A 23,438-nucleotide genomic window follows, 5' to 3' on the forward strand; every position below is an offset into this window, starting at 1 on the left:
AACTCCCAACCAAGGAATATTAAGTGACTGTGAAACTGAGGCTAGTTACTTTTATCCTGATATTACATCAAGTCATAACTTTGTGGAGGGAGGCACAATAGGAATTCATCATATTGTGAAAATGGTATATTCTGGATCAGATCGAAGCAGGTTCAGAGAACATAAGTAAGTTACACACGCTAGTGTCCCAGACCTTTACATTACTTACTTAGTTTCATCAATGCCTCATATTTAGTGAGCTAGTAGAGAAGAAATAGCAAATGGAGAAGGAAAATCTCAGGCTTGGTTCATGGATAGGGTGACTTAATATGTTTGCAAGATGAAAATAAGCCTCTGTTGCACTACAGCCTGTCTCAGAGGAGGCCTTGGAAAACAGTGTTAAGGGGAAGTCCTGCATGGTTCACTCTGTCATCAGCTCTGTATGAAGAGAGAAATGGTCTGAGGTAAGAACACAAATAAATTCCTGGGCAGTGGCTGGTTAATCATGGACTTGTAAGGAGCAAGACTGGAAGAGTGGGGTCTAGAAGATATGAGGAAGACTCATGTAGAGGGATCCATAGAAGTGAATACAAAATGTGCAGATCTTTTTGTCTCCTATCAATATCCCCTGGAGACCATCTACCACCGAACAGCCAAGTGGTAAAGATGATTCAGCCAGTGAAAGTCAGCGAGTTTCTTTCCTCAGCAACCCCAGTGCTTGCACAAGGGGCCCGTGAACAGAATAGCCTCACTGGCAGAGATGGAGGGAGACAGAGGAGAAACAAATATTAAATAAATAATGACACAGATAATTGTTGATAATGATTTTCAATACTAAGGAAACAAATATAAGGTCTAGGTTGAGTATTCCAAAATGGTTGGGAGCAAAAGTGTTTTGGATTTTGATTTTTTTCTGATTTTGGAATATTTGCATATAATGAGATATCTTGGGGATGAGATCCAAGTCCAAACACAAAATTCATTTATTTCAAATGCACCCACATGCATAGCCTCAAAGTAATTTTATACAATATTTTAAATAATTTTGCACATAGAGGAAAGTTTTGACTGCATTTTGACTGCAACCCATCACATGAGATCAGGTGTGGGACTTTGCACTTGTGGTGTCATCTTGGCTCCCAAAAAATTTGCAACTTTGGAAGATTTTGGATTTTTTGGATTTAGGATGCTCATTCTGTATCATAAAACATGTAAAACATGGAACAACCCTATTCTGGGAAACCAGGGAATGCTTTCCTGAGGAAATACAACTTTAAAGTTGAGCAGATGATAACTAGATAAGAAAGGGACAGGCAAGACCAAAAAAACTATAGCATTTGTGTGAAAGCCCTGAGGTGGGAAGACGCTTGGTAATATGAGCAAGTAAAGAAGACCAATGTGCCTAGAAGACCATGAAAGAGTGGAAGAGTGGTGGAGGTGAGAAAGAAGAGATAAATGAACATGCCTGATCTTGTCTGATCTCAGAAGCTAAGCAGGTTTGCGCCTGGTTAATACTTGAATGGGAGACAGAAGACATAAGGACCACTGTGAAGGGATCCTTTGTTGCCATTGCTGTTCTTGCTGTTGCTGCTGCTGCTGTTCTAATTGTTGCTTGTGGGTTCACCTTTCCTGAGCTAACTCTTTTTCAACTTTCACTTTTTACTTCCTCAGGGAAACATTAGTGATGCTCCAAATTAGTGTTGTTTATTGATGTTTGTGCTTATTTTAAGAGCAGTGAAAATCATTGAAAAAGGACTGGGCTAGAGATAAGAATTTGGTATTGATTGGAATATAGATGACATATATGGATTAAGAGGAAATTAGAGCATGGTACCAAGCCTAGTAAGGGAAAAGTCTCCTTAAGAGACATCAAGAAGGAACAACCTGAGAAGAAGGGAGAACTAACAAAGAATATGGTATTCCCAAGTCAAGAGAAAAGATAGATTTGAAAAGAATGTGTTCAACTATGTCAAAAGTTGAAGAGCAGGTCAATTAATATATAGCCTAAGAAAATGTCCGTTTGATTTAGCAACATTCGTATTTACACCAACAGAAATTAGCAAATGCCACAAATCCTGGCTGGATTTATTGTTTTATTGATTGTCTAGTCTTAAGAAAGCGATAGAGAAAATATTAATAATGCAGACTAAACTGAAAAGTATATCAAAGTCTGTAGCCATTACATGAATAGCACAAAAGATTGAGCACGTATTCTTCCAGTATTTGAAAACTATTATCCTACTCAGCAAAGAAGTTGCACACGTCATTGATTCTCAAATGAATTCTGACAAACAGCTTCATTGTCATTTCACTTTCATCTTACTCATTAACCACAAATGAAAAATACCAACCAACATTCATGTGGGAACTACATTTGTTCATCAGTTGCAATCATTGATTAGTTAGGGATACAAGAATGGCAAAAATCAATGAAATCAAGGATTCTGTGAGAATCTGTTAGATCTAGAGGATTTCCAATAACAAACTTTGAATATTTTATTGTTATTTACAAACTGCCATGCATTCTTTATATCAATAAAATGCTTAATAGATTTATATTGTTATAATACGTGTGCACTTTTTCCAAAGAGTAAATTATTATGCATTTACCGGCATATCACTATCCTTAGCCATCAGTAATGACCATTAGATAAATGCTCAGGATATACTTATATAAATTTAAAACAAATTCACAAATATGACTTTGAAATAAAGAGATATCACAAAAATGGAAGGAAAGAAAATACAATGGAAATTAACTACCATAATATGGTTACTGTGGAGAGTGTAAATGGCAGACTTATGAATAAAGTTTTGGAACACATGCCATTTGAAGTTCTTGCAGGAACAGAAAAGTCTGAATTTTTTCTTCACTTGTGGTTCACCAAATTCTGCTACCTTTATCTCACTTTACTGAACATGTTTCCCCACCTCAGTAAAATAAAGAGGAATTAAATTTTGCAAAAGGAACAGAGAAATTGATGTAAAACAAAGGGATATTTTGGTAGTTTTAACCTACGTCCACAAACGGTTTTATATTCTTTCCTTCCCTTCTGGGCCTAATTACCCTTTCTGAGTGTAGACTTGACTTAGTAACTCAACTCTAATGATTAGAATATGGCAGAAATGATAGAGTGTAACTTCCAAGTATAGATCTAAATGATATTGTGACTTATGTCTTTCTCCCTTGAATCACTTGCTCTGGGGTAGAGATTCACATGGAGAGAAACTGAGGCCTCCTACCAACAGGCAACACTAACTTTCCAATCCAGGTGAATGAGCCATTGTGAAAGTTGATCCTCCAGTCCCAGCCAAGCCTTCAGATGACTATAGCCCCAGCTGACATCTTGACAGCAACCTCACGAGAGATCCTAAACCAGGGTCACCCAGCCAAGCAGCTTCAGGATCTCTGATCCTCATAAACTGTAATATAATAATTATTTATAGTTTTAAGGACTATGGAGGAAATTTTTTATGTAACGATAGATAACTAATACCTATAGTATAAAATTATGAAGATGTTTACATTTCTTGGGGGTCAATTAATCTTAGATAAGTTTAGGAACTATAATAAATGTGACTTTGAACTTCTCTAACAAGCTGTTAGTGTAGTATTAGACTCAAACACCTTGTCTTCACCTCCTTGTTGAAGGATAGATGGTAATTTAATGAATCCCTCCCAGAGAAGGACACATGGGAAGAATTACTAGAGGAGGTAGCATTTGACCTAGATCTCGAAATTTCAATTACATTTTAGCAGACAGGACTGGATAATAGGTATTTGGATTCGTGTACTGGTGGTGACAGAAAATACATGTTTTAAGAACTATAAGGTAGCTGAATAGAGCACAGGGAAACTTTCAGAGCAATGTTTCACAAACTGGGGCATGCCTAACAATCCCTAGGGGTGCTTATTTAAAATACATGACTGGGCCTCATTCACAAAGTTGACTTGGTGGAATTGAAGGGGCCCAGGAATTTACCTTCTAAGTGAAAAATCACAAGTGATTATCATGTAGGTAGATGGTCACTGGATCACAATTTAAGAACCACTGTGTTAATGGAATAACACAATTTCAGTCTAGAAACATAAGTTAGGACCGTGTCACAGGTGTTTAAATGTTGAACTAAGCTATGTGGTTGAAATGATAAACAGTGAGATGCTACAGGATTTTTGAATAGTTTTTATTGTGAAAATTTTTATGTACAAGTAGTACTAACAGTAATGAATCTTTATATCACCATATCCATCAATTATCAAGATTTCTCTATATTTGCCTTACTATTCATTTTTCATATTATTAATATTGCTGATAAAGTACTTTAAAGCAAATCGTAGACTTCATGTTATTTCACCTCTATTTGCTTCTGCATGTATCTCTAGCTTGCTAGACAATCACATTGTTTTTATAGTACCTAAAACAATTAATAATAACTCACTGGTATCCTCTAATACTGAGTTCAAATTTATCTTTTATAATTTTTTTAAAAATTCTTTCATTGTGAGCTTGTTTGAACCCAAATCCAAACAAGGTCCACACATTGCATTAGATGCTGTATCTAAAGATTATCCTAATCAAGATGGGTCCCTCCTCATTTCCCTCCATTTTTCTTCATGTCACAGCCTTACTGATACTGAACACTAGTTCTACAGAATGTTTCACAATATAGGTTTGTTTTTTTGTATTCTTGTGGTATCATCTAACTTAATATGATGTCCTCCATATTTCCTGTAAGCAGAAGGTTATCTCAAAGTCTTAATAAAATTCAGGTTTACTTTCTTTTTTTAAGGAATACTTCATAGGGGACTATGTAGTGTATAATCCATGAAAGCAAGAAGCACGTCATATCAGGGTCTCCCACTCCAAACGATGCTAAAATTGATCCGTGATTTCAAGGAGTGACAGATTGATTCCTTCATTATAAAATTCCTCAAAATACTTTGATCTATTGTTTCATTTATTCTTAATCATTGCCTCAATAAAATTTTCATTAGGAGATGCAAAATGTTGATTTTTCTAAAGCTCTTATTTCTTCTACTTTTATTATATGGAATTACTCTAAAATATTCTTCTGTCATTACTAAAGCTACTTGATTACTCTGAAATACTTCATATAGAAATGATAGGATAAATGCTTAATTATTTCCCACTGTTAAGGCTACAACAAATGGTTAAAAAAAACACTTTTTTTGGTTTTTGCTTGTTTGTTAATATCTGTGACACTATGAGAAACTGCTTAGGATAATTCATCTTGACCTGGAAATTCTTATTTAAAATAACCTATAGGAGAACACATTTCAAATTAATTTTCAATTTATTTACACCTCTTGAGAAATATTACAGTTCTTTAATTGGAATAGTCCTTAAAATCTGAGATTTCTTAAAGCCATTGGATATATACTGTACCATGGCTGGGTGGAGCAAAATTTAACTTAAAGTTTCAGCAGTAACTACAGGCCTCAAAACACTAGAGATAATGCTTGAATTGACTTGAACTAGTAACTCTAGGCATCTAAAGAGCAAAGTAAATATGCCTGTTTGGTTTCTAGTGTTTTCACTTTTTATTCTGAAACAATCTCAAACTAACAAAAAAGTTGTAAGTACAGTACAAAGGACCTTTTTCACAAAATCATTATAGAGTAAGCCGCCCATTTTTTCTGAATACTTTGAGTATTCCCTGAAAAGGAGGACATTCTCTGATGTAACCAAAATATAACAATCAAAATGAGGAAATTAACTTGTTACCATCTATTTCCCAGACACCAATTTTGTCAATTGTTTCAATGATGTTCTTTATTAGAAAAGGACCTAGTTTAGAATCAGGCATCAGATGTATTATCATTCTCTTTATCCACCTCTACCCTGGAATAGTTCCTTGGTTCACCTTGGAATAGAGACTTGATCTGTCTTTCACAATCTTGACACTTTTAAAGATTACAGGCTGGTTATTTTCTAGACTTTCTTTATAGATTGGTTTGGTGTTTTCTCTCAACTGGCTTCAGGATATGCATCTTTGGCAGGAATATCATAGAAGTAATAATACATTCTCTGCATCCTAACAGAAGGCATATAAATTAAATTTGTTCTGTCTCATTACTGGTGATGTTAACTTTGATCACTTGATAAAGTTGGTGTCTGCTATACATCTCCATGGTAGAGTCAATTTTATTTTACTTGCAATCAATAAATATTTTGTAACTAATAATTATTTCTCAAACCTTCAGGCATTTATTTGTTCTGTCTAAGATTCATGGATTTCTTTATTTCTCAGGAAGATAATCTGTCACTGCCATTACTTATTTTGATACTCAAATTGTCCTACGGGTTGTCAGCGGAAGCTGCTTCAAGCAAGCTTCTACAGTACTTTGACATGTCTCCATCATTCTTTGAACACTTCCTTATTTCTGAGAAAACAAGAGGTTTTTGTTATCTTGTGTTTTTTCTGCTTCATCCCTGAAATCAAATGATTTTTCCAAGAACCCTAGCTCTTTTTAGTGCAGAACATTATTGAGAAACTGAAATCTGGGAGCTAGATATGTTCAATTGCTAATCTCAGGCACTGAGACACTGAGAGTGAAAAGAACTACAAAATACATAGGTACACACACACACACACACACACACACAGGCATGACATTTATATATATTTATTTCTATATCATCTATTCATATATATTAAAAACTAGAAACTCATATTCAAACCTCCAATTCAAATCTATCACCACAGCTTCCTCCATTTCCATATTTGCAACTCCCTTCTCTGACAGTGAGAAATCTATTCTCGTTCTCCTCAAATATTTACTTTTTTGCATTCATCCTTCTGTATGTAACTAATCTGGCTGCCCACACACACTAGAAGCTCTCTCTGCTTAAACTGTGATACCTCAGGCTGTGCTGCTGCTGCCATCATCCAGCTCCCACAGATACTCAATTTGTTGTTGATATGATTTGGCCCTATGTCCCCATCCAAATCTCACCTTGAATTGTAATCCCCATAATCCCCACGTGTCAAGGGCAGCCCCAGGTGGAGGTAATTGGATCATGGGGACAGTTTCCCCCATGCTGTTCTCGTGATAATGAATGAGTCTCATGAGATCTGATAGTTTTATAAGTGCCTGGCGTTTCCCCTGCTTGCACTTACTCCATCCTGCCCCCCTGTGAAGAAGGTGCCTGCTTCGCCCTTGCCTTCCACCATGATTGTAGGTTTCCTGAGGCCTCCCCAGCAATGTGAAACTCTGAGTCATTTAAACCTCCTTCCTTTATAAATTACTCAGACTCAGGTATTTCTTCAAAGCAGTGTGAGAAGGAACTAATACAGGTGTTTTGACATCCTATGACACACACTGTCCTTAAGGATGTCCTGATCACACTATTCAGACTCCAACCCCATGCTCAAGGCCCTGTGCCCCCTTCCCCAGTTCAGATGACAAGCTTCCTCAGCTCTGCCTAATGGGGGAGAAAGAAGAGAAGAAAAAGGGAGGGAGGGAGGAGAAGAATAGGTCCCTACTTATTTTAAGGGCCAAATAAATATATTTCACCGTAAACTACCAAAACTCTTACTGTCCCTCACATTACTGGAACATTCTAATTTACTCACCTAAAAATTGACGTTTGCTTCAAAAAAGTAATAATACTAAAGGTTATATGTAACCCTGGCATATTAGGACCAATATTCTATATATTCAGCAAATATTTCACTACAGCCCATAAAACTGTTGAAACTCAAAGGAAAGTGAATATTGTGTATTATACAATCAAATTTAAAGCACAAAGTTTGGATGATGCAAGCTCAAGGAAAATTTGGGCATCCTACACATTTGGTAGTGACATTATGTGAAAGAATTTCGGGATTAATTTTCAGCTGATAGAGTTGGAAAAAAAAGTGGACGTATAGGGAAAAAAATGCAATATAGACAACCGATACTACCAGGCACTAGCTGCTTACACTGCCATACATATATAGATGACAGTTAATTGTCTCTCTGAAAGTTCTACTTAAGCATCTACAGCTACTAGCAATTATTTTCTCAAGAAGCACATTTTATATGGTAGCACTATTTATAGTAACAGCATTATTAGTCGATTTCAATAACACCCACTTCAATCACCAAACGGAGAATTTTCTGCCCAAAAAAAAAAAAATACATTAGATGGCCTTTTCTTTTTCTTTGTTCTCATGGATGGTTTTCAGATTAGGTTTGTTTTTTGTTGTTGCTTTTGTGTGTCTTTAACATTTATTTCAGCAGAGCCCAAACATTCACACAAGAATAAAGCTCTGAAGTTTCTGGCACGTAAGATACGCCCAAGACTATTCCTAGACACCAGCAAACAGACGAGGTTGAAGAAGAAACAGGTGAAGAATAATGTCTTAAACATCATTTTAGCACCCTATTCTGCCATTCTGTATCTTTATAGGATATGTCCAGTCCAGTCCCAGAAAATCTACTGCCCAAGGAGTTCTAGATGACAGGTTAGATCAAGCCCCGGCAAATGTTTGCGAAAACAACATTCAACTGCCTCTGGACATTGCAAAGACATATTCCAGGGAGCTATCTCTTGGGCTCTTTTTTAACATCTCTCCTAGAGGATGAGACTCCTTTCGGGATTACAGCCACTGGGAAAGTAAAAGCAACAGTAGCATCAACAGGTTGCATCGCACTCCCGCGCCCCAGGGGCGGTGCAGGAGAGCGCCCGGAGCCAGAGCCAGGGCGCGCTGGGCGCAAGCTGGGGCGCGCCCAGGGCCAATGAGCTTCTGATTGGCTCTTTGCTGTGAATAGACTAGGCCGAGGCTAATAGGACCGGAGGGGGCGTTCACCTGGGAATTGGCCTCCCCCCCTTGCCAAGGACCTCCCTGATTGTATGGGGCGGAGTGGGGTGGGGGTGGGGGCTGGAAAGGGGAAGCCCACCCTAACTAAACGGAGGGGCGGGAGGAGGTTAAACTGAGGAAGCCACGAGCCCGCAGTAAAGAGAGGGCGATCGAGGCAAAAGGGTAGGTAACTTGGGACTTCTGTGCCTTGAAAGTGTTAAGGATTGCAGGGAATGCAGGCGCCTTTCATTTTACTTTGGGCACCCTCCCCTGGCTGGGCATTTAATGAGGAGTCCTACTGTGTGTGTTGAAACTCTGCATAATACCGTAAAATATTCTGGCCCTAAATTACACTCAACGGAGAGATTTAGGCAGATTACAATCCTAATTGGCCGCAGGGTGCTGGGGAAAGGGGACAGAGAGAATTGGGGGATCTGGAATTTGGTGTGCTATCACTACACCGCAGCTCTATTTTCCATTAAGAAAAAGATCATATGACGAAGTCGAACTAAGAGATCTGAAGTAAAAAATGAAAAGATGGAGCAAAAGTAAGAAACATACTCTGAGACGAGTGGGTTTTCCCCCTTTATTCCAACAGCAATCTTAAATGATGGACGTCATGTAGCAGTTATATATCTATGAACATGCATGAGAGATTTATAAATACCTGCATACATAAATACAAACATCCTATTATACATGAGAAATCGTAAATGCTTGGGCATCAGAAGTGGGAGCTGTGATCCTAGCTTGGGGGCAGCACAGGGTAGGCGGCCTTCTCTCTGCTTTGAGTGGCTTCTGGGCGCCTGGCGGGTCCAGAATCGCCCAGAGCCGCCCGCGGTCGTGCACATCTGACCCGAGTCAGCTTGGGCACCAGCCGAGAGCCGGCTCCGCACCGCTCCCGCACCCCAGCCGCCGGGGTGGTGACACACACCGGAGTCGAATTACAGCCCTGCAATTAACATATGAATCTGACGAATTTAAAAGAAGGAAAAAAAAAAAAAAACCTGAGCAGGCTTGGGAGTCCTCTGCACACAAGAACTTTTCTCGGGGTGTAAAAACTCTTTGATTGGCTGCTCGCACGCGCCTGCCCGCGCCCTCCATTGGCTGAGAAGACACGCGACCGGCGCGAGGAGGGGGTTGGGAGAGGAGCGGGGGGAGACTGAGTGGCGCGTGCCGCTTTTTAAAGGGGCGCAGCGCCTTCAGCAACCGGAGAAGCATAGTTGCACGCGACCTGGTGTGTGATCTCCGAGTGGGTGGGGGAGGGTCGAGGAGGGAAAAAAAAATAAGACGTTGCAGAAGAGACCCGGAAAGGGCCTTTTTTTTGGTTGAGCTGGTGTCCCAGTGCTGCCTCCGATCCTGAGCCTCCGAGCCTTTGCAGTGCAATGTCCCGCCTGCTGCATGCAGAAGAGTGGGCTGAAGTGAAGGAGTTGGGAGACCACCATCGCCAGCCCCAGCCGCATCATCTCCCGCAACCGCCGCCGCCGCCGCAGCCACCTGCAACTTTGCAGGCGAGAGAGCATCCCGTCTACCCGCCTGAGCTGTCCCTCCTGGACAGCACCGACCCACGCGCCTGGCTGGCTCCCACTTTGCAGGGCATCTGCACGGCACGCGCCGCCCAGTATTTGCTACATTCCCCGGAGCTGGGTGCCTCAGAGGCCGCTGCGCCCCGGGACGAGGTGGACGGCCGGGGGGAGCTGGTAAGGAGGAGCAGCGGCGGTGCCAGCAGCAGCAAGAGCCCCGGGCCGGTGAAAGTGCGGGAACAGCTGTGCAAGCTGAAAGGCGGGGTGGTGGTAGACGAGCTGGGCTGCAGCCGCCAACGGGCCCCTTCCAGCAAACAGGTGAATGGGGTGCAGAAGCAGAGACGGCTAGCAGCCAACGCCAGGGAGCGGCGCAGGATGCATGGGCTGAACCACGCCTTCGACCAGCTGCGCAATGTTATCCCGTCGTTCAACAACGACAAGAAGCTGTCCAAATATGAGACCCTGCAGATGGCCCAAATCTACATCAACGCCTTGTCCGAGCTGCTACAAACGCCCAGCGGAGGGGAACAGCCACCGCCGCCTCCAGCCTCCTGCAAAAGCGACCACCACCACCTTCGCACCGCGGCCTCCTATGAAGGGGGCGCGGGCAACGCGACCGCAGCTGGGGCTCAGCAGGCTTCCGGAGGGAGCCAGCGGCCGACCCCGCCCGGGAGTTGCCGGACTCGCTTCTCAGCCCCAGCTTCTGCGGGAGGGTACTCGGTGCAGCTGGACGCTCTGCACTTCTCGACTTTCGAGGACAGCGCCCTGACAGCGATGATGGCGCAAAAGAATTTGTCTCCTTCTCTCCCCGGGAGCATCTTGCAGCCAGTGCAGGAGGAAAACAGCAAAACTTCGCCTCGGTCCCACAGAAGCGACGGGGAATTTTCCCCCCATTCCCATTACAGTGACTCGGATGAGGCAAGTTAGGAAGGTGACAGAAGCCTGAAAACTGAGACAGAAACAAAACTGCCCTTTCCCAGTGCGCGGGAAGCCCCGCGGTTAAAGATCCCCGCACCCTTTAATTTTTGCTCTGCGATGGTCGTTGTTTAGCAACGACTTGGCTTCAGATGGCAGCTACATTTGATGGTTTGCAAATGCCGCCGCTGTTCCAAACTTCCTACGGTCCATATTGTTTGATGAAAACTTTCTGTTAAAATTGTGTCCTTTCCGCCCACCTTCTGCTCCCCCTTTAGATAGATACGGTATAATTGTAGGTACCCGTATATGGCATCATTATTCTAGTTCCCTGCTGCCAATACGCTGCTAAAACGTCGCATCTTCTCTGTCACTGGTTTGGGTTTAATTTATTTTACGCCCTGGGCATCCATCCTTGTGTGTTGCGCACTCAAGTGTGGGAGATTTAGTCTTCCGAAGTTGTTTTCCAAAATGCACAATGAAACGCAAAATTAGTGCTTCCAAAGTGGATAACTTTTGACTATGGAATTGTTAGAAAACAAGAAACTTTAAGGTTTATATATTGTATAAACATACCCAGTATGTGCATCCGATCGCGAGAACGTTGGCGTCTTTTAGGAAACTCCGCGCACGCACTTTATCAGCCGCTGCTGCGGTGGTGGCTCCAGGAGAAACTCAACTGCCAATTGCAGACCAGTTTTTTTTTTTTTAAACACAGCCACTTATAATTCTTAAGCTCTTTGCAAATGTTTGTTTAAAAAATGAAAAATTAAAAAAAATCTAGTAGTGTCAAACGCATTTGGTCAATTTTATTTTGCTTTGTTAATATTAGAAAACTTATTTATTATTGTTTGCTACCATTTCTACTTATCTTGATTCATTTTTTACGTTTTCTACTCGAGATCATTTTATTTTAATTTAGCAAAGCCAACTGCCCTTGTTTAATGTATTTTGTTTTGCAAATGATTAAAATAAATGTGAAAAGAAGCCTTTTGTCACTTATTCCTTGAGTATAACTACTGAAAACAATTTTCAAATGAATGACTTTGAAGAATTGAGTTAAGTCTTCTATTCAATGTCATTTATGCGATCTTACAGTTTTGAAGAAAAATGTTGTAAACTTGGTGCCTTCAGGTAGTATCAAAACCCCTTCAAAGAAAAGCACTCAAGTCAATAATTAAATTGTGAGATAAAACTTCTTCCAAATTTGCAGCACAGTTTTGCCTCTTTGATGGCCAGGATCTTCCCAGTCTTCTTTACTCCTTGCCCCAACAACATCTGCAAGGGGGGGAGGCCATAAGTTTTAGGTTTGCTAGAACCTAGCCTGGAGTAGTTAACTTTACCAGGGTTAGCTATGTCCACTCATAAAACCTACTCAAGCTGAAAATTTTTCACATAGGTCAAGCGCAGTGCACACTGTCTATGCCTCTCTCTCTCTCTCTTCTGGGAGAAGAAGACCAGAAGAGACAAAGATGATAACAGAAAAAAACTTGAGGGAAAAAAAGGAATGGGATTAATTGATTCAAAAATTAGAAGTGTGTAGTTGCCCTGGGAATTTGTTGACCTCCACTCATTTTTTTCTTTTCACACAATTCTGTTTCTCCCAATGTAGAAGCTAATGTCTGTCTTTATTTTGTCTTTCTAAATTAGCTTCTATGTAGAAAATATTCAACTACATTTCTGAGTCAATTGCATAAACTAAACGGTGCTGTCACTCTCACCTCAGGTGTTCTCACTAAGGAAAAACCTATTCTGGGTCTCAGGATCATAGGTTTTGGAAAAGCTAATAGTCGTGCGTGTGCGTGTGTGTGTGTGTGTGTGTGTGTAGACAGTGAGAGAGAGAGAGAGAAGAAAGTGGAATTAAAAAAATAAATTTGGCAAACACGAGAGTAGGACTACTTATTAAACTAAATATTCGGCAACGTTCCACTGGATAAACATCGTTGAATTTGAGACGCTGATTTTAAGCCAAGTCTTTTATCTTTTGAGGCCTCACTGGGATAACAAATTGCTGGGAAATGAAGCACCAAAAAGAGCAAGGGAAGGTTAGTATAATCACTCCTGCATCCTCTTCTCCTCCTAGCACCTTGAAAAGAGAAAAGCGCCAAAAAGAAAAGGAAAGCGCCACAAACTGGGTTTGCAGAAAGAGTAATGCACTAGGGAGCGCAGGTTCTGGTCTCCTTAAGTAAGAAACTGCAGAACCAGCTTTTTACTGACCACCTGGGTATCTGTGGCTTTCAGCGGAAGCCGACCAAGAGATGCAGAGAACGTCCGCCAGCTCTCTGGGAGAAGCGAGCAGGCGGCTGGTGACACTTTCCAGGGCAGAAATAATGCACCTGTCCCTTAGATAACCTTTTGCACCCATCGAGTTTGCCGTGCTCACGATAAACATCAGGAATCTTCGGGCTGCTGAATAAATCAAGCGATTGCTTCTAACACATTTCCATTTCGCTCTCAATAAGCAGACCCAACAGGTATGGACATACAGCAACCTTGCGGGATGAGAGCACGCATATTTTTATAGTTATTTGCTTAGTGTGTTCGCATGCATGTGACAAGGACCTAGACTCATTTTACCTGTTCTGAATCTGGCTCAGAAAAGGACAGGAGGAAGGAAAAGGTGATTTCTTTTTTCCTCAAAGAAAATCTATGTTTCATTTTTCAAAACCATTTCTGTTCATTTTGTGTCAATCAAAGAGGAGAAAGACCTTGTCCAACGTTAATATTTTTCATTGTCTCATAGAAATTGCAAAACAGAAAGGACATCAGGAACATCTTCCTTCACATCTTTCATAAATGAGGAAACTGCTGTCCCTAATTTGCCCCCAAAATCACACAGCTAGAAAGTGTCAATATCCAGAACTGATCTTAGTACTCCTGGCCGCTAGGTCAATGTTCTCATAATTTTTCTCTGAGGAAATCAATAGATAAGAGCTACAGCTATCTAAATGTTGGTGGGGAGGTGTTGTACCACCACAGTAGGTGGATATTTATACTTTTAAATATTAGTGGCATTACATAGGAATTGAAAATAACACCAGCTTCATTTAAGGACATTCTTTACATTTCTCCTCAAGAGAAAAACAACCATAACGGAATATCCGAAATACTATACTGATATAGTCTTTATAACAATATAGAACTGGAAATATTATAACACAGTTGATTGAAAAGGGGGGATACATTTTACTAACCCATTAAGACATGCGAGAAAAGTCAAATCACTGTGGTAAATTGAGTGATCAAAGTTCAAATGAGAGCTTTAACCCCTTTTCTCTCCATTCTATTTCTTTCTTTCTTTTTTTATTGCTGGCATTTCTTTGAAAGAGATGTACAATCACATTTCCATTTTAAGGTTCTTCTATGGAGTTTGCATAACAAACGTTTGGCAGCTCGCTCTCTTACACTCCATTAACAAGCTGTAACATATAGCTGCAGGTTGCTATAATCTCATTAATATTTTGGAAACTTGAATATTGAGTATTTCTGAGTGCTCATTCCCCATATGCCAGACCACTTCTGCCATGCTGACTGGTTCCTTTCTCTCCATTATTAGCAATTAGCTTCTACCTTCCAAAGTCAGATCCAAGTATCCAAGATACTAGCAAAGGAATCAACTATGTGTGCAAGTTAAGCATGCTTAATATCACCCAAACAAACAAAGAGGCAGCATTTCTTAAAGTAATGAAGATAGATAAATCGGGTTAGTCCTTTGCGACACTGCTGGTGCTTTCTAGAGTTTTATATATTTTAAGCAGCTTGCTTTATATTCTGTCTTTGCCTCCCACCCCACCAGCACTTTTATTTGTGGAGGGTTTTGGCTCGCCACACTTTGGGAAACTTATTTGATTTCACGGAGAGCTGAAGGAAGATCATTTTTGGCAACAGACAAGTTTAAACACGATTTCTATGGGACATTGCTAACTGGGGGTCCAACTTGACCAGAAAAAAAGGGGGAGGTTAATTTCCTTAATCTTAACCAATGAATGACCAATATTTTCATAAGGCCTTCCTATTGATTTTAGAGTGTTGAACCAAGTAAGCAGAGTGTTTGAACCAAGTAAGAGGTCTTTTACCAAAAGATAGCTTGTAATATTTCTCTCCTTTGCCCATTTGAAAGTTCAAGAAAAATATTATCAAATTCGTCTTGCCAGTTACAAACTCGAATTAGAATTGGAAAGTAAAAGTAGCAGATGCACTTATCAATTATAATCTAGACTTGTCAGTTGCAATCTAGAAAAACCAGCAAGAGCTGCTCAGCGTTACAGATAACCAATCGTAGTTGAATTGCTTGCAGTTATTTTTGTGAAAAGGGTTAGGAGATGGAGGGAGAAGGATATAATAAAGGCATAAGTTTTTCTCGATGTTATTGACTCTACATTCGCTAACCGCCCTCGCCCCTAGGCCAAGAAGAGTCCCAGACGCCGACAACTAAGGTTCCTCCCTTTCTCCTACTAGGCCCCTAAGGAGAAAGGGGAAACTGAGCGGAGAATGGGTTAAATCCTTGGAAGCAGGGGAGAGGCAGGGGAGGAGAGAAGTCGGAGGAGTATAAAGAAAAGGACAGGAACCAAGAAGCGTGGGGGTGGTTTGCCGTAATGTGAGTGTTTCTTAATTAGAGAACGGTTGACAATAGAGGGTCTGGCAGAGGCTCCTGGCCGCGGTGCGGAGCGTCTGGAGCGGAGCACGCGCTGTCAGCTGGTGAGCGCACTCTCCTTTCAGGCAGCTCCCCGGGGAGCTGTGCGGCCACATTTAACACCATCATCACCCCTCCCCGGCCTCCTCAACCTCGGCCTCCTCCTCGTCGACAGCCTTCCTTGGCCCCCCACCAGCAGAGCTCACAGTAGCGAGCGTCTCTCGCCGTCTCCCGCACTCGGCCGGGGCCCCTCTCCTCCCCCAGCTGCGCAGCGGGAGCCGCCACTGCCCACTGCACCTCCCAGCAACCAGCCCAGCACGCAAAGAAGCTGCGCAAAGTTAAAGCCAAGCAATGCCAAGGGGAGGGGAAGCTGGAGGCGGCAGAGGCGGCGGCGGGAGAGCTGTGGGGTTGTTCAGGAAAAGTTGGGCTGGGGGCTGAGGCACCTGAAGCAGTGAACCAGGACTAGGTAGGAAGCAAGAGCATCCTCCTGCGCAAGCGGAGACGCAAACGCGCTCCTGAACCCATGCAACCGCCCGGCCCAGCGCCGATATTTGAAGATCTACTTCTCTTTTCTAGCCAGAGATGCATTTCTTCACTCACTCTGTTATTCTAAAGACTTTTTTTTTAATGTTAGTAAAATTCTCAGAGTTTAAAGGAGAAGCCAACATATGGGCATTGTCTTCCACGTGTCGTTCCACGGGCGGGTGCCTGACTCTTCTTTCCTTGGCTCCTTAAGAAAAGTTAAGCATTTCAATACAAAGATTGTAGGCCTTTCTCTTCTCAGGATGCCCCTCCCTTTTCAGCTCTGCTTTCTCTGGTCCCAGACAAACAAATTAGGCTTTTGCTGCCTAATCTACAAGTAGGCCAGGCCCATTCTGCAAGTTCATACTTTTCCCCAGTGAAACCAGAAGGCTCCTCCACAGAGCTGAAAAACAAAGTGCTCTTCAATATAAGTATTTTTCACTATTGTTTTCAACTATTCTGATTAGTGAGTTAAGAGACATGATAAAGAAAACGCTGTTTGGATGTCCAGCAGGTTCACCACAGCTGCAAGGCCTAGATACTGTTAGGTTGATGAAGAAGGTGTGAGCTAGGATTTGGGGTCTTGGGATTTCTCAAGCCAAGAGATGTCGTTACTCTTTTGGACCACTGGACATTTGTTTGTCATTTCTAGATACAGTTCTCCACAATTCCTCCCACCTTCCTGTCTCTACAAACTCTTAAAGATGGGGTGCTGGTAAGGGAGGGGCTAGGATTGGAAGGGATCTTCAATGATCTGGGGCAGGGGTGAAGTAGCATTTGAGGGAGGAGTAGGCATCATTCTTTGTACCTTAGGGGGCCACAAAACTAGGAGAGATCTGAAATCACTGGGCCACAAGTTGACCAGGAAGATGGGAGGCCAGTTCTTTTTGTTTTCAATAATGCATCTGCTTCTGGAAACAACCTAGCAGAAATGCACAGGATTATTTATTTTCTTTAAGTTTTCTTCCAACCCAAGGGATGTTGATTCAGTCAATGAAAAATCCCAGGAATTTGCATACAGGGTTTCCAGGCGATCAGATACTAGTAGAGCAGAGGATCCCTGAGACACTAATGTAAGGGAGTTTCTATCAGACACCTTCTTGAGATTGTCTATGAAAATGGAAACTAGCTAATAATTCCCCCCTACCTCCTTATACAGTATTGGTTTTTTTTGTTTTGTTTTGCTTCTGAAAAAAGAGAAGCAGGCAACGTAGCTTCTTGGATCCCATGACTTGACTTTGTTGTTTTCAGGCTATTTGGCCTGGGACAATGTGATCCAGCCCTAAGATGTCTCAATTTCAAACGTGATACCAGCTGCCTTTGGAGGCATAAGGGCATCATTCCAGGAGGTACAACACATTCACCCTCTGACTGTCCAACATAAGTGACTCAGTGGGAGAAGCCAAAATGATAACCAGTGAGTGTTTATGAAAAGCAAGGAGCAAGACCAACAAACTCTGAAAGAAATAGAAAGATGGGCGAAGATTGTCAGAAAGCCTTTGGTTTAAGGGAGGTGGACCAAGTCACATCACTCTGTAATAACTCTAGCCTGAATTTAGAGGGTCATCAAATTTGATGGAAACATTAGCCACCTATCAATTGACTGAAGAAATAGCTATTCTGCTGTGCTGGTAATGGCAATCTGAGAATACAGAGAAAACCATTTTCATGATGTAGAAAGGCAATGAGCCCAGGAAACAGTGTAACTTCCTTTGGTGACTAATTCTTTCATTTCTTTCAAACTCTTCCTCACTGTCTCATATAACCCACATCCCTCTTGTTTTCATCAATGAATGGGCACTTACTGAGCACCAATCTATATCAGGGGAGTTAACCACCCTAGGAGATGCCAAAGAATAAAATAGAGCTCCCTCTCCTAAAGGACTTAGAAGGTGGGCCGAGTGCGGTGGCCCATACCAATAATCCCAGCAATTTGGGAGGCCAAGGCAGGCGCATTGCTTGAGGTCAGGAGTTCAAGACCAGCCTGGACAACATGGTGAAACCCTGTCTCTACTAAAAATACAAAAAAAAAATTAGCCAGGGATGGTGGTGCGTGCCTGTAATCCCAGCTACTTGGGAGGCTGAGGCAGGAGAATCGCTTGAACCCGGGAGGCAGAGGTTGTGGTGAGCCAAGATCACGCCATTGTACTCCAGCCTGGGCAAGAAGAGTGAAACTCGGTCTCAGAAAAAAAAAAAAAAAAGAAGAAAGAAAAAAAAAGGACTTAGAACAGTTGGAATCTCAGAACAAACATAGAAAAAAAGCTTCATCTCCTAGATGAGGGTAGCATTATCACTACAAATGAGCCACAGCATTGTCGCCTTATGTTTGCCATCACATTATTTCAATCATAGTTCCAGGTGTATCTGTGCATAACCCTCTTTGTTACCCTCAAAAATAGTAGAGATTTTGAATGACCTGAAACCATACACCTAATCTTTAAGTTAACCACTTTTGACCTCAGAGAATACCTTTATTTGTTTTTTATGAGGTTGTTGGGATGTAATCATAATTTCATACCAGAAAAAAAAAAAGAGGTTCTGAGAGAGATTTGAGTATCTTGCAGAAGGTAACGTAGTCTCAGTAGATTCATGGCCACAGAAACTCAGGTCTTTTCTCAGCCTAGGGTCAGTGTTTTTTTCACCACATTTCACCTGTCTTGGGTTCATATTTTGAACCAGCCACCTTATACTTGCTTCTCCAGTTCTTGTCAAATATGGAAGTGGTAGAGATCTCTGAACTCTTCTGTTTTACATTTGCTCCAGAGGGAGATAAGATAGTTCTTTGGAGATGGTTATGGAGCAGGCTCCATTTCCACATGATAGATTTAACAGACATACTGGATAGAATAATTTTCATTTAGAATGCCAGCTTTGCTCCTCTGATGTGATTGATACTGGACATTATTGCCGTTTATTCCATATTGACATTCATTTCCACTTTTATCTAGAAAAACCCATCCCAATTCTAAACACAAAATAGGAAATGAGGCTAAAGAGTGTTATATGAAAATGTGTCCTGAAGAGTAATGGCCTGAAAGCAGGTATTTCCCAAAATTATTGCCTCATGTATGCTTGCAAAAAATGGCAGGGAAAATAATTCTTATTGAAAGGAGAAGTAAATGTACCTGGTACTTTGTAGCTGCGGATTCATTCAGTGACAACACACATGTTTTATTCACCTGGTCATTGGAGCTGTTGGCTTTTTCCCCTAAAGCTTCCTACAAGGAAATACCACTGTTCTGAGTGGTTCAATGTCTAAAAAATATTTCTTTGTTTTGAAAAATTCTGATATTTACCTGTCATGAGTCAGTACTCCATTTTATAATGCCTCCAGATTCATTGGTTTAAGGCAATTTCTTTTGTATGACTTGTAACTTAGAAGTATTCAACCCCCCAAGGAGTGAAGCAGGGAGTAGAGAGGACTTAAAAAGCAGAATATATTCCTATTCAAAAAAGCAAAGTTCTCAAGCAGCCACAAAGGTCACATCTTTGGATCAAGGGATAAACTTTGTACTTGCAGTGCTATCTAGAAATTTTCCCGCAGGTTATTTAGCCCCTGTTGCTCCCTCTCCCGACCTGCACACCAGGACAGCTCCTAGGGATTTAGGTCAGAGCACTGTTTACCACAACCTAAACTCATATTGCTTGTTTGTGGGGTGGGGAGGGGGGGGGTGCAAGGGGGGATGGCGTCTTGCTCTGTCACCCATGCTGGAGTGCAGTGGCATGATCTCACTGCAACCTCCACCTCCTGGGTTCAAGCGATTCTCTTGCCTCAGCCTCCCAAGTAGCTGGAGTAGCTGGGACTACAGGTGCCCGCCATCACATCCGGCTTGTTTTTGTATTTTTAGTAGAGACAGGGTTTCACCATGTTGGCCATGCTGGTCTCAGACTCCTGACCTTGTGATCCACCTTGGCCTCCCAAAGTGCTAGGATTACAGGCGTGAACCACCATGACCTGCCCAGATTACTTCTTAACGTGTCCTGCCTTGTGGTACCGGATAACTCACCTGGCTGAACATTCCCCACTATTTTGGGACATCTACATGGCTCCTGATTCTAGAAAAGGAGTGTGAAGCTATCATGTAGACCTTTCCTGCTTTGTCTGAGAATGATCCCAGATGTGTTCACTGTAGGCAAGAAGGCTACTTTCCCAACATTTTGTTCAACATCTCTTCTTTCTCCTCCACCTTCTCCATTCTGCTACAGAGAGGTGAAGATTTACCCAGACCAAGGGGATTGGCTTGGGTTTAATGTTTTCTCATAGGTGCTGCACCCTACATAAGCCAGTTGGCCCAAGGACTAGAGAGATGGGGACAAGGAGGCTTGGTTATTCAGCCAAAAACTATATTAATGAGGGAGGCTCAGTCTTCTCCGGGCCTGTGGAAGGTGAGGAGTAATTTGGTAAGGTCCATTTGGGAGACCCTCCAAAGCACTTTTCCAGGTACCAGGCATTTTGTATGAAGGTCCTTCTTGAGGGAGCCTCCTCATCCTCACTCTACTGAGAAATAAAGAAAATAATTCATCTTGTGGGCTAACGGTTGTCCTCAGAACTCTTTCACCTCTGAGATCACCTCCTTCTGGGTTCCTCCCCAACACTTCAAGGTCTGGCGAAGATTCTTTTTTCTCCTGGAACCCCATACAAAGTTTTCTCACATTCCACTGGAATTTCAGATTTGTTTTTAAGCGCCAGCCCCTTGAAGGCAGGAACCTGTGTCTAATTTGAGTTTGCCACTGGCCCAGTGACAGGCAGATAGTGCCCATGGAAGAGATAAGTGAGATTCAAGGTCACTTAGGCCTGTATGTGTTCTGCCTGGCCACAGAATTCCTTGTCTTGCTTTCTCTTTAGATCAGACGCTTTAAACTGATTACAGTCAACATTGGGACTTCTTTCTGTCCTGAAAACTACAAAGCCTTTCCAACACGGTTTCCCCTCCCTTCTTTAACTTTTTGCCTAATCTCTGAAACCCCTAGATAGAGTGAAATACTCTGTCCACTGTGCTCCAGTGGTCCTTCTAACAACTGACACTTTTTTAAAAGTGCATTTCTGGAGTCAGGGCAAGGTCTTATCCACCGTTGCATCCGGATTATCAGAAACCCCAATATGCCTTTCCAGGATTTAGTTGGACAGGCTGATGCCCTCAGGCCAGTCTTGGGAAGTTGCTTTCTTCTCTGGCCCCGTGCTGTGTTACAGTGCACTGCTTGCACTGCCGTGGCTGAGTGTGACTCAAGAGGTTACCCTACATGATCCCCAGAAGGCAGAAGCACAATTCTAGCATCTCTTCCCCTTGCACTTTCTCACTACCTGTGTCGCCTGGCTGCATTTTCTACCACATTATTCCTTTCTACCACCATCTTTCCTTCCCTTTCATGAGCTCTCACATGCTTTTCACTCATTCTTTTCTAGCAATTTCCACTTCCCTATCATTTCCCCCCAGTCCTTCTGACATCTCTTGGTCCAATTGCCACCTTTTCTTCCCCCATTCCCTTGACCTTTATTTCCCAGCACTGGCCCTCCTTAGGCAGTGGTTTTATTTCATGTATTTGTTCCTTTACCAACATCCTAACCTCACCAGTCCCCATTCCTTGGGTCTGTCCTTCTGGTTCACCTCTAGCATGACACAGTCAAGACAAGACTTGAGCAGCCACTTCACTGCATGGCCAGCAAGGCAACAGCACTTTTTCACAGCAGCCCAGGCAGGCACTGGTACAAATTAATGCCTTGCACTTTTGAAAAATCTGCAGTGCTTCCTGCAGGAGCAGCGCAGGCATCACCCCTTCATCCTAGACAGGGAACACAGCAGAGGCAGGGAGGTGCAGGTGGGCATCAGAGAGCTAGGGAAACCGGATCTCCTGTCAGTGTGAACTGAAGGTTTTTTCTCCCCTATTCTTGCTTCCCTCCCCTCTCTCTCCTGACAGAGACACCCAGCAGTGTTTTGGTGGCTGTGCTGTCGACTTTCGCCTCCTAATCTCAGTTAATCAACTTGAGATCATTGATGCAGGTCAGCATCAGCCCATCTGTTTGATCAAGAGTCAGAGATCTCTATTTCCTTGCAGTCAGAATTCCTCCCTGGGGCAGGCACCCTGCTATAGTAACCTTCATTTAATACCCCCGTTATCATTAGCATCAGAGCTCATCGACACGCCTTTCCACAGAGGATCCCTGCTCCAGCCTAGAGGACTCCAGCATCTTCAAGGAATACCTTATTGGAGTTCACCTTGACTGCAATCTGAAGGAAGTGCTACTGCTTTCAGCAACAAACAACCACCAAGCAATAAACATTTCAAGATCATTTCTCTCTAAAAACAATCTTCAGTTTTTTCCATTTCTTTCCATCATGTACCCTTTTCAGTTTATCTTCATCTAGACGATAAACAAAATACCCTCAAAGAGGCTGTCTTTTATCAATGGGAACAATTTTTGTCCAACATGCTATAAACTGGTTTGCAGGATACTTACAAAGAACAATAGGGGAAATGAAATAAACCATTCAGAACTGTGCCCTGAAGTTTACCAAGGTAATTGATCCTTCCACTGGATCCTCCTGAATTTTTCAACAGTAAACTAATTCATCTTCAACTGTTGATTTCGCCATTATTATATGTTTCACAAACAGTAGATGCTTTAAATGATTTCAACATTTACCCCATAAGTTAAATGAATAAGACATTTGGTTAAAATAATAACACTTCTAGAAATCAGAGAAAGAAAGATGAGAGAGAGAAAGATTGCTAGTGCAAAACTTGCACGAGGGATTTGCACCTGTACAACTTGTGGTTACTTAATGTCTCCTGAAATCTAGAAGTACTCACCAAGACAGCTGGCAAATAGGGGGTTAATCATTACAGAAAATGATGCATCATATCTTTTCAGTTTGGTTTATACTGAAGGGCAGTAAAGATTTATGCTTCAGGAGGATAAAACTGTTATTTTCAGAGTGTGGTTGTCTCCTTTGAACATTTATTTTCTGAGGCAATGTAGATATAGTTAGTCTATGTTATAGAACAATCCTAGTGCTCCCTAAAAGAACTCTCTGGTACTTTAATCATCTGGATGTATT

At 42.1% G+C, this 23,438-nt stretch overlaps 1 protein-coding gene and 1 pseudogene across 1 annotated transcript, besides 1 other annotated feature; both read left to right on the forward strand.

The window, feature by feature from the left end:
• On the forward strand, positions 1,417 to 1,526 carry RNA5SP164 (RNA, 5S ribosomal pseudogene 164; annotated as a pseudogene).
• Positions 8,116 to 8,821: an enhancer, noted in NCBI's record as "H3K4me1 hESC enhancer chr4:94748021-94748726 (GRCh37/hg19 assembly coordinates)". NCBI's record gives its function as "activates a minimal SCP1, AML or CMV promoter by ChIP-STARR-seq in primed H9 embryonic stem cells {active_cell/tissue: H9 hESC(primed)}" and the evidence as "EXISTENCE:reporter gene assay evidence [ECO:0000049][PMID:30033119]".
• ATOH1 (atonal bHLH transcription factor 1) lies at positions 9,999 to 12,210 on the forward strand. The gene has a single exon (NM_005172.2). The coding sequence runs from the start codon at positions 10,173 to 10,175 to the stop codon at positions 11,235 to 11,237; it is 1,065 nt and encodes a 354-aa protein (NP_005163.1). The 5' UTR covers positions 9,999 to 10,172; the 3' UTR covers positions 11,238 to 12,210.
• Positions 12,211 to 23,438: the final 11,228 nt, after the last annotated feature.

The sequence above is a fragment of the Homo sapiens genome, chromosome 4, assembly GCF_000001405.40.
Source record: "Homo sapiens chromosome 4, GRCh38.p14 Primary Assembly".
NCBI classification, from domain to species: domain Eukaryota; kingdom Metazoa; phylum Chordata; class Mammalia; order Primates; family Hominidae; genus Homo; species Homo sapiens.

Bases quoted from the DNA above. Each gene is read 5' to 3' on its own strand.
- ATOH1 (NM_005172.2), top strand. From the start codon at position 10,173: ATGTCCCGCCTGCTGCATGCAGAAGAGTGGGCTGAAGTGAAGGAGTTG.